Source organism: Homo sapiens, chromosome X (assembly GCF_000001405.40).
Source record: "Homo sapiens chromosome X, GRCh38.p14 Primary Assembly".
Lineage (NCBI taxonomy): Eukaryota > Metazoa > Chordata > Mammalia > Primates > Hominidae > Homo > Homo sapiens.
Window position 1 is genome coordinate 77,498,898 of NC_000023.11, and position 12,084 is coordinate 77,510,981.

The 12,084-nt window shown below is 38.7% G+C and overlaps 1 protein-coding gene across 9 annotated transcripts in view, besides 1 other annotated feature; it reads right to left on the reverse strand.

Annotated features, from left to right (window-relative positions):
* Window positions 3,494-3,995: an enhancer, noted in NCBI's record as "NANOG hESC enhancer chrX:76757869-76758370 (GRCh37/hg19 assembly coordinates)". NCBI's record gives its function as "activates a minimal SCP1, AML or CMV promoter by ChIP-STARR-seq in naive H9 embryonic stem cells {active_cell/tissue: H9 hESC(naive)}" and the evidence as "EXISTENCE:reporter gene assay evidence [ECO:0000049][PMID:30033119]".
* ATRX (ATRX chromatin remodeler) overlaps window positions 5,983-12,084 on the reverse strand; it is a 281,337-nt gene continuing 275,235 nt past the window's right edge. For all 9 annotated transcript variants that reach the window (XM_005262156.5, XM_005262157.6, XM_006724666.5 and 6 more), the window contains one exon: window positions 5,983-9,732. In XM_005262156.5, coding sequence (XP_005262213.2) covers window positions 9,454-9,732 — 279 coding nt within the window. In that variant the 3' untranslated portion in view covers window positions 5,983-9,453. The remainder of the gene's footprint in view (window positions 9,733-12,084) is intronic.

Genomic DNA, 12,084 nt, shown 5'->3' on the forward strand with positions numbered 1-12,084 from the left:
GCAGTCCTTTACACAAATAATTGACAAGCAGAGAGCCAAATCATGAATGACTTCCCATTCACAATTGCTAAAAAGAGAACAAAGTACCTGGGAATACAGCTAACAAGGGATGTGAAGGACCTCTTCAAGGAGAACTACAAACCTGTGCTCAAGGAAATGAGAGAGGACACAAACAAATGGAAAAACATTCCATGCTCATGGAATGGAAGAATCAATATTGTGAAAACGGCTATACAGCCCAAATTAACTTATAGATTCAATGCTATTCCCATCAAACTACAATTGCCTCTTCACAGAATTAGAAAAAAACTACTTTAAATTTCATATGGAGTGAAAGAAGACCCAGGATAGAAAAGACAATCCTAAGCAAAAAGAACAAAGCTGGAGATATCACACTACCTGACTTCAAACTATGCTACAAGACTACAGTAACCAAAACAGCATGGTACTGGTACCAAAACAGACATATAGACCAATGGAACATAACAGAGACCTCAGAAATAACACCGCATATCTACAACCGACTGATCTTTGACAAACCTGACAAAAACAAGCAATGAGGAAAGGATCTCCTATTCAATAAATGGTGCTGGTAAAACTAGCTAGCCATAGGCAGAAAACTGAAACTGGACCACTTCCTTACACCTTTTACAAAAATTAACTCAAGATGGATTAAAGACTTAAATGTAAAACCCAAAACCATAAAAACCCTAGAAGAAAACCTAGGCAATACCATTCAGGACATAGACATGAGTAAAGACTTCATAACAAAAACTCCAAAAGCAGTTGCAATAAAAGCCAAAATTGACAAGTGGGATCTAATTAAACTAAAGAGCTTCTGCACAGCAAAAGAAACTAGCATCAGAGTGAACAGGCAACTTACAGAGTGGGAGAAAATTTTTGCAATCTATCCATCTGACAAAGGTCTAATATCAGAATTTCCAAGGAACTTAAATGAATTTACAAGAAGAAAACAACCATATCAAAAAGTGGGCAAAGGATTCGAACAGACACTTCTCAGAAAAAGACATTTACGAGGCCAAAAAACATATGAAAAGAAGTTCAACAACACTGATCATTAGACAAATGCAAATCAAAACCACAATGAGATACCATCTCCTACCAGTTAGAATGGCAGTTATTAAAAAGTCAAGAAACAATAGATGCTGGCAAGGCTGTGGAGAAATAGGAACACTTTTACACTGTTGGTGGGAATGTAAATTAGTTCAACCATTGTGGAAGACAGTATGGTGATTCCTCAAGGATCTAGAACCAGAAATACCATTTGACTCAGCAACCCCATTACTGGGTACATACCCAAAGGAATTAAATCATTCTACTATAAAGACACATGCACGTGTATGTTTATTGCAGCACTATTTACAATAGCAAAGTCATGGAACCAACCCAAATGCTCATCAATGATAGAATGGATAAAGAAAATGTGGTACATATACACCATGGAATACTATGCAGCCATAAAAAGGAATGAGAGGATGTCCTTTGCAGGGACATAGATGAAGCTGAAAGCCATCATCCTCAGCAAACTAACACAGGAACAGGCAACCAAACACTGCATGTTGTCACTCATAAGTGGGAATTGAACAATGAGAACACATGGACACAAGAAGGGGAACAACACACACCAGGGCCTGTAGGGGTTGGGGGGTGAGGGGAGGGATCTTAGAGGACAGGTCAGTAGGTGCGGCAAACCACCATGGCACATGTATACCTATGTAACAAACCTGCACGTTCTGCACACTTATCTCAGAACTTAAAGATAAATAAATTAAAAAAAAAAAAAGAAAAGAAATCCGCCCACATGATCCAATCACCTCTCACCAGGCCCCACCTCCAGCGCTGGGGATTACAATTCAACATGAGATTTGGTGGGGACACAGATCCAAATCATATCAGGGAGTATTCTGTTTTATTTAAGTCTTGCTTAAAGTAAAAACAGACATGAGAGCTGATATGCAAAATAACAAAATAAGGTACTCTAAATGGTTCACAAAAGGCTGGGGTTAAATCATAGTTGAAGGAAGAATTGCAGGCTTGTTCAATGGGAAGAAAAACATTTGCCTCTTCCAGTTGGTTGTGAGACACTGAGTGAATAAGTATTTCAAACCTATTTTCTCATCTGTAACACAGGAATAATGAAAAGTGACTGGCCATAGGTCCTGAAACACAATAGGTGTTCAATAAATCTTGATCACTGTGTGAGAGAAGATTCAGAGAGGTGAAGTAATTTGTCCAAGTTTAGAGATGGATCCACGCTCCTAAGTGCTAGCATATTAAAATCATTTTAGGACCGGGAATACTGGCTAACTTCTGTAATCCCAGCACTTTGGGAAGCTGAGGCTAGAGGATCACTTGAGCCCAGGAGTTCAAGATCAGCCTGGCCAACATAGTGAGACATCATCTCTACAAAAAATAAACAAAATTAGCCAGGCATGGTGATGCACTCCTGTAGTCAGTCGCACTACTTAGGAGGCTGAGGTGGGAGGATTGCTTGAGCCCAGGTCAAGGCTGCAGTGAGTCAAGATCACTCCATTGCATTCCAGCCTGGGTGACACAGCGAGACCTTGTCTCAAAAAAAAAAAAAATCATTTTGCTGTCTTTCATTTCTTCAGAAATATGAAAACTGTTCATGGTCCATGTGGTACATCTCTGTAACTCAATAACAGTCACCCTTATTCTGACAGAGATCACTATACTAACACAGAGCTTTCTATTTTGTTTTCTTGTGAATATATCATCATTTCTCATTTGAAATAGAGGATTTTAAAGTACTCGGTGCATAAACTTGCCTGGTCTAAGGAAGGCTGAATGATTCTATCCTTGTCACTGGATACTGAGATCCAGAAAATAGAACAGAGCTTCTAGATCCTATTGGCCTAAACCATGCTGAGCGTGGTGAAAGAACCATTTAAAGAAATTAAATATCCCTCTGAAACAAAATCCTGAAGCCCATATACTGGATGCCAAATTAAAGGTTTAGGGGATTTGTCAGGGGGCTTCCTGTTTTACAGTTATCACAAGAATGTTTCCCTTTCATTTTGGTTTACATATTCTACTTCTCACTAACATTTCTCATTTTAAAGCTTAGTTCATTCAGTACCCATTATTCTGAAAATTTGCTTAATGCGGTCTGGCGGATTGAAGAAAATGAATTAGAATTTAAATGCAGTAAGAGGCATCTGAATGGAGTGGAATGAGAACTGGAATAAAAGCTAGAAGACATGAGTGCCCTAGGGCACCTTTTCCCCTCTCTGGGACTTTGTCTTCCTGATTGTAAAGGTAGGGGCCTGGGCTACATGGTCTCTAAGACCCCTACCATCCCTGGCATTCTAAGGTTCTACAAGTCCTCCCGACCTCACACACTTAGGCATCAGAATATAAGGGGTGTGTGTGGTGGGGTGGGGAGGTGACAGGGGGCTACAGTTGGGGAAAGATCCTTTGGAGAAGTAAAGGGGGAAAAAATCGCAGGCAGGCACTTCGTTTGAACTCAGCATATTCAGGGATAGTGTGTGCAAGACGTGGGAAGAGAGGGCAGAAAAGTTGCTAATAGAATAAAAGGTTTACTTTGTTAAGAAGGATAATTAGATCCAAGCCAGCCACATTGCTAAAGCCTTTGAAGCCCAACCTCTCCATGCTGTATTGTTGAAAACTTACTAAGAGTTGGGAATAAACTAATAAGACCTCAAATAGTTGTAAACCACGTCCCCCTCTCACCTTAAGTTTGGTTTTGTTTTCATTGAATGTATTCAATAGGCTAGTGTGTCTACCTGCTTTGTTATTGGCATGTGGGGACAAGCAGCTACAGAAAAAAATAAAACTCATCTATTAGTTTTCTTAGTTTTTGTCACATAATTTGACTATAAAACCTACATCTCAAAAGGTGTTCCATGTAGTTACACAGGAGTCAACATAAACAAATATTGCCTATTACTCACTATAAACTTTTTCCAGACCAGACAATTTAAACATTGGTCTAATTTGGCTTTACAGTTATAAACAAGAGTGGTAAATCACCAATTATTTGCTTAAAAGTGGGCTTCACAAAGCTGATCTATATTTTCCTTGATGTTTTGTCATGTTTGTAACCCGATCAGCCAATCAAGATACAAGAATCAGATCCTTAAACATGTTTTTTTCATTTTCTGCAATGAGTTTCAAAGGCAGTAGGAAGCTCTGGGAGAGCCTCTGGGCAAAAGATAAAGGTTACAGCTAGTGGAAGTTGTAATTAGAGCCAATTACAACTTAACTTACCTGCTTTGTCATTAAAATGTCTGTCAGACCTCTCATTTTTCTACACAGAGGGAAAGAAAAGGTATAGCTTAGTAGGGGAGAGGGTTAGCCAAAGGGAAGGGATTTCTAGTACTGTTTACAAATTTACCCTGTAATCTTAGACAAACACATTGCCTTTTGGCTTTAGACTGTGCTTTGCTCAAAGTTTAACTCGGGGAGCTTAACAGGACTTAGGAAATCACCTGGTCTAGTCCCCTGCCTTCTAGCAGGCAAGGTATTATTATTGTCCCATTTTTCTCAAATTAGATATGAAAGACCTGGAAAATTTAACTAACTAGACTATGTCTTCTGCCTCCTTAAGTGCAACAGATTTGATTTTGGTTTCACTTATAACTTGTCATAAGGAAAATGGCATTATTTTCACTTCTCTCACAGATACGTTGTGTATAGGGTTAACACGATAACTACAAAGCACGTTGAAAATACTAAGGAAAGCTTATAAATATAACATTACCCACAAAGCTACTAGCACTTTGAATGAATGGGTCTCAAAGAAATGTAACAGAAATATTTGGATTTCACTTTTTTAAGAATTGGCTTGAGGAAAGAAGTAGAATTACACTCAATGGACCAATCTCACTTTCTGCAAATGTAAAGGAGTACAAAAAAAATTGAGAAAGAATAGGAATGTCGCTGACGAACATACCATTATGTTTGAGAGTAATCAGAGTAAGTGAATTTTGTGTGTAAAAATCAAAATTCTGAAACAAAGCCTCCTTAGGGGGAAAGTAAAATAACAGGTTTTTATTATAAGTATCATTGTAAAAGTTCACTATCCTATACAGCCTCTAATGATTTTTTTTTCTTTTGTCCTTCATACTTGGACCAATTATCTTCCTGTCTCCAATCTTCCACCTTGCATTCTAAACCAAATTACCCTCACCCAAATAGCCATCTTTACTTGCTAAACATTATCATCTGCCTCACAAACCCTTGTTATCCTCTGTACTGAATTACTCATTCAGGATTTCAAGGCTCTTCATCAATCCACTCCAATTTAGTCTCTTTCCCGATCCTTCTTTGCTCTCTTTCAGTACTATACTTTCTCCCCATATAACTAAAACAAATCCCATCCTTGCATATAAGCCATCTTTCTTCACCTTTCTTGAAAAACAACACATATACGACACAAGGAGCATAGGGATGGACCTGGGTATACTTAATAGGAAAGTCTCTTAATAGTCATTGTATTTGCAAAGCTGAAGATTACAGCCAAGCTCCCTCATCCCTTACATGTTTCTATCAGAGAAGGGTAGAATGTTCAGGAACTTAATGTGGGGGAGTGTTGCTGGGTAGAGATTGCTTGTGATATGCTGTATTAAAGACGGCCTGCCTGCAGTATTTTAGGATTTGCCTCACTCCTTCATTCTTTCAATTATAGTTGTATCCTTATCTTTACTAATGGCCTCAATTTATATGCTCTCTTTCTTGGTGAAGGTGTGTGCAACAGTCGCTATCAAAAAGATCCCTAGAAAGCGAGGAAGGATGATTCCCTTAGTTTAGTGGCACAATGGTGTCAGGAAGGTTGTTCCAAAGAGACGGTGGTAGTACCTATCATAATGGAATTTTATGGCAGCTCTTGGGGGTGAGCCACTATCCTGTTATTACATCCAACGCTAGTGATGTTAACAGTTTAGTTACCTGGCACATATTGAGCTTTGACACAGTATATATTTCGGATTTAAAACTTTATTCACCCCATATAATAGTATATATAAAATGTTGTGAAGATGAAAGCATTTCTGAAACTTGATCACTCCTTTGGGACTGGCTCAGATTATAGACTTGAAAAAAAATAACGGTAGAAAAATGTTTATTCTCTAAGGGTAGATCTGATTTGGAGATAGCCAAGTCACTTGAGACTGAGTCTGGTGAAATAAAGTAGTAAATACCCTGAACATAATTTTTAGTATAATAAACATGTAAAAGGATTGACCTGTTTTACTGGTAGAATAAGTCTCTATAGCCTCACAACATGCTACTCTCAAAGGAAACAAGGGCTACTGGGACAGAATGTAACTGCTCTTAAAGTTTTGTTTGGGGCACATAAATATCGATCTGATTTTATGATAATGGAGGGAAAATGAACATAGCTAAGGGAAGGCTACAAAATATTCAGCTCATTTGGAGGCCAGGTAATAAGGAAGCTTCTGAATGGTAAGCAGCTTTTCTATCAAGTGTGGGTTGGTAGCCCTGCTTGACTTAAAATGAGTGTTACAGCTGTTGGGAAACAGGAAATGGGGCTGGATTACACAAAGACATCCAAAACTAACACAAACACACATGGACTTCCTGGTATGTAAATTCTTTTTGAGATGAGAGATCTCCCTTTACAGAATTTAGTATATAACAGATTCAATAACCAAACTTCGTGACCTCTCAATATTAAATAACTAAATGTGCAAAAGAACCACCATTATATAGGACAACAAAAGCTATACATTTTCTATGAAACAGTATGTGCACAGATTTTCAAAGCTGTGAAAATACAATAAAGAGCACAACACATTTTGGTCACTTTATTAAATGACATTAAATAGTTTAAGTTTCAACTACTAAACAGCACTTTGAATGGTGAAAACACAGATAGTATATTGTCATACTTGAATGCTTTTCTTTAAAAACACAATTCCAGTCCTTATATATATTACAAAACAGCCTTAAAGGAAGAAGTGACATCTTTTCTACAGTACTTAAGATACTCAATACAGAACTGAAAAGCAGTCTAACAGAAACAAAGGCAAGTCTTCACAGCTGTATGATTTCAGCAGCCAAAGCTGGATGATGGACTGAAACATTACTATACAACTGGGACAAAACATATACAATATCACAATACTAAGCAAAAACGCTTTACACCCAAAGAAATAAAACAGGTTACAAAATGTGGAGAATTTAGCAGGCAAAACTGTATTACAAGCAACATTTTAAATCATCATTTTTAATCCATTGCAACTATTTAAAACATCTAAAACAAATATAAAAATGAGCCTTTTAGTATTTTACTGACGTGATTTTTTTGTCTTTAAATATTTGTTAAAGCTTGATGTTATACTCAAAGTACATATTATATAGCTAAAATGTCAAGTGAGAAGAGTGTATACAAAGTGGTCCAAGTTTTATTTCAAACTCTGATTTCCAATTAACCCTTCTAAGTATTATTCTTTAAGTTATAGTTTCATCCATGGTGAAAAAGATTTAGAAGGTTGCCTAAAATTTTCACATCTATGTCTTTGAGTAAATAATTAGACCATGTTGAAAATTCCCAGGTCTAGTAAATCAGGTTTAAAATATTCTGAACTTGTAGAAATACCAACTGGTAACAGTTGGCCAGAGTGTACTGCCTTCAAATATTTCTCATAAATCTTGTCTTTTTCATTTTTTCTAAAGTAAATACACACCTGCCCCACCCAATTAAATAAATCTGATTACATGGCTAGCATAATATCTAAATATACAGGATTTATTAGTGATATTTCATCATGGGAAAGTGGGGGAGAGGGGCGTGGATCCACCAAACCTCACAAATTCTGTATCACAATCCTAGTGCTCTTGGATGTTTTACCACTAGTTCTTCCAAGATAAAAATGGCAATCTCTTAATCATCCAAACAACTCAAAGCAGTTTTAGCTAATGTTAAACTCATTCTAATCCAGTGATACCTAAAGCAAAGCCCAAACCCAGTTTTCTTTTTTTTTTTTTTTTTTTTTTTTTTGGAATTCTTAAGCTGTTTCACTACCTGTTGTATCATCATCTCAAAAATGGTTCTGCCATGTTGAGTTGACTCCCATAGTCAAAAACAATGTTTTCTTTAACAATTCAAGTAACCAAAATTGTACATGAATAAATTTATAGGTCATTTTTGCAGAACTGGATTAAGAAAAAATAAAATGTAATACATTTTCTAGTAAAACTTCTAGTAAAGGGGTATTGGATGAATTAATTTTGATTTAATAATTGCCTCACAATCTAAACTAAAAAAAAAACAAACTCTGAAACAATTTAAAAAAATGTAAGGAAACTGGGGTAAAAGAACATGATGATGAGAGAAAAGAAGCGCATAGAAGCCAGTGATTCTTATCTTTCAGAGGAATTATTTCACAATACTGATAGTACTGGGAATTGTTAAAAGTACATTCCTCATGTGAACCTAAAGTCAGCAATGGTTCTGCCATTTTGATGTTGTTTATAAAACAGGGTGTGAACCTAACAACCACAACTTCAGTGTTAACCTACTAAAATGCTAGAACTTGATTTTCTAAGTCCACATCCCACTGCCAGCAACAGGATGAAGCATTAGCACTGGCACCATGCAGTTAAGAGATGTGCTTTATATTCGTGCCAGGAGAGAGAAAATTCATGTGTGGAAGATAATCCACAACCCTGAAATTTTACCAGTAATTATTTCAGCACATATAACTGAAAATAAAAAATGGCAGAAGGACTAAAGAAGAAAAAGGAATTCTCTTCTTAGGCTATACTTAAGGCTGTTTATACAATGCTAAGATAACTGCAAGACTTCTCCAACTTTTAGAGCAGTAGTATTTAAGAATATTGCACACAATTCTGTGTCAAAGATAACCCTCAGTTTCTAACTTTCAGTCACAGAGACAATAAAGCAGGAGCCCAGTTTCAGACTTCAGTCAAAAGAACATTAAAACCATTTCAATCACTTTAATCAAGAAATGGATTAAGTACAAAAGTATTTCATAACTTGAGGAATCAACTCTAAGAACTCAGCTGTGTGTTTTTATATGTAAAGAATGAATATATAAATCTTTATTCTTTCCTAAATTTATTAATTTTATGACAATTTTATGGTTGCTAAAAGCAGGCATAAAAATTTAGAGAGGAAATCTGTGGAGTTGTTACTATTATGGAAGGACTTGTTTTCACTGAAAACAATTTGAAATATCTTCTGTACTCAGCGTGTGTAAGAAGATTCTAGGCAACATCACTGACAAATGTCAGGAAGAAATGGTATGCCCTATTTAAAAAAAAAAAAAGTAAAACTAATATGGAAGATTGGCATTTAAGGGGACCAAACTATTTATACAGTTGAGTTCTGTTAAGTCATTGATTCCTAAAAAAATAAAAGATCTTTCTATGATTTTAACAATCCATTAAGCTTTTAGTGCAAAATCACATTGATTTCCCTTGGGAAGGTCCTGGATTTTTGCTTCTCATTGGGGGTGGTGCACGCTGTAATGGTGGTGGCTGCATACCACCAGCCACTGGCTGATACATTCCTCTCATATCAATCTGCTGGTAGTTAGAAGGATTCATGATCAAATTTGGGGGCTTTGGCATCATGAGGTGACCCAGTGTTGCTTGTTGATAAGTCATTTGTTGCTGTTGCTGCTGATTGTACTGCTGCTGGAGCCTTCTGTTCATAAGTATTCGCTGAACACAGCTGATTAACTATAGAGAAAAAATGGGAGTCATTACAAGTGCATGACCTGTCTCAAAAGAGGTATCAAGTTTTGACTTAAAATCAATTTGTTAAGGGGGTACCATACCAAAAGGAAAACACATTATTGTTAACACCATTACTAATGTGATGGCATTCACAGGACCATTACTGTAGAAACCAGTTAGTAAGATCATTTAGGGCTAAATTCTCTTAATGTCTTGACTATTATATTGCAAGCAGCATTTAGCTTAGTTGCCATAGTAATGTGTTCTGTACTGTGATTAGTCTCAAGTATTAGTTACAACACTTTTTGTTAAGACTCCTTTCTTTGTCATTCTTTTGAATATTTCACATGATGACAGACAAACATTTTAGTGACAAACACCAAAGGGAAAGGCACTTGCAGTAGGAATAATTCTGACCAGGAATATCTCAAATGTACTAATATATTGTAAAACCACATAACCCTGCAGTGCTTTCTAAGTAAAATATATGCCACAGAAATAGATTCCCTGGTGTCAAGCGTAGAAATTTCCAAGTATAAGGCAGAAGGCTGGCAAACGACTGTGTTGGGAAACATGATCAAGGATCCTGGAATACAGTACCCTTTTAAAGAATTATATAACTTAGTAGGAACCTTTGATATGTATCATCCATAGCTCTACCTTTTATTCTCAAATTAAACACACTGATAAGTATACTACTATTTCGAGGTTGTTTAACAATGGCAAATGTGACTGGAGGCAGAGCAAGATGGCTGAATAGAAGCCTCCACTGATCGTCCTCCCCGAAGGAACAGCAAATTGAAAAACTATCTGCAATAAAATCACCTTCATGAGAACCAAAAATCAGGTGAGCAATCACTGTACCAGATTTTAACTTCATATCACTGAAAGAGGCACTAAAGGGGGTAGGAAAGACAGTCTTGAACTGCCAATGCCACCCCTCACTCATCCCCTGGCAGCAGCCGTGTGGCAGGGAGAGAGAATCTATGTGCTTGCAGGAAAAGAGTACAGTGATTATGGGACTCTGCATTGGAACTCAGGGCTGCCCTGTCACAGTGAAAAGAAACACCAGGCAGAACTCAGCTGGCACCCACAGAGGGAGCATTTACACCAGCCACAGCCAGAGGGAAATCACCTATCCCAGCAGGCAGAACCCGAGTTCCGACAAGCTTTGCCACTGTGGACTAAAGAGTTCTGGGGGCCTAAATAAACCTGAAAGGCAATCTAGGCCACCAAGAGTCCAAGTCCTGTACTGTGCTGGGCTGAAAGCCAGTGGACGGGGGGCGGGGGGGGGGGGCACATGACCTAGTGAGACACCAGCCAGGGTGGCCAGGAGATTGCTTGTGCCACACCTTCGCAAACCCCAGGCAGCACAGCTCACAGCTCCAGGAGAGACTCTTTCCTTTTGCTTGAGGTGAGGAGAGGAGAGGGAAGAGTAAAGAAGACTTTGTCTTGCAGCTTGAATATCACGTCAGCCACAGTAGGACAGGGCACCAGGCAGAGTCCTGAGGCCCTTGTTCCAGGCCCTAGCTCCTGGATGACATTTCCAGACATAACCTGGGCCAGAGGAAACTCATTCTCTTGAAGGAAATGACTCAATCCTGACAGGATTCAACATCTGTTGTCTGAAGAGCCCTTGGGCCCTGAATAACCAGCAGTGGTACCCAGGCAGTACTTGCAGTGGGCCTTCAGTGAGACTCAGAGACATGCTACCTTCAGGTGTGACATAGCACATTCCCAGCTGTGGACACTATGGGAAGAGACTCCTGCTTGAGAAAAGAAGACGAAAGAGTAAAGAGAACTTTGACATACAGCTTAGGTACCAGCTCAGCCACAGTGGGCTAGGGTACCAAGCAGACCCTCGGGGACCCTAATTCCAGGCCTTGGCTTTTGGATGGCATTTGTGGACCTTCCCTGGGCTGGAGGGGAGCCCACTGCCCAGAAGGGAGAGACGTAGTCCTGGTAGCATTTAACACAAGCTGACTGAAGAGCCCTTGGGCCCTGAGTGAACATCAGCAGTAGCCAGGCAATACCTGCTGTGGGCCTGGGGTGCTAGTGGTCACAGGGAGAGACTCCTTTGCTTGTGAAAAGCGGAGGGAAGGGTAGAAAGATTTTGTCTTATGGCTTGGGTGCCAGCTCAGCCGAAGTAGAATAGAGCTCCAGGCAGATTCCTAAAGATTCTGACTCCAGGCCCTGGATCTTAGATAGCATCTTGGGATCGGCCTAGGGCTGGGGGAAATCTGCAGCCCAGAAGGGAAGGACACAAGAGGAGCTGGCTTTGCCACCTGATGAATGTGGAGCCTTAGAGCCTTGAGCAAACAAAGGCGGAGGCCAGTAGTTACTGTGGATCTTGGG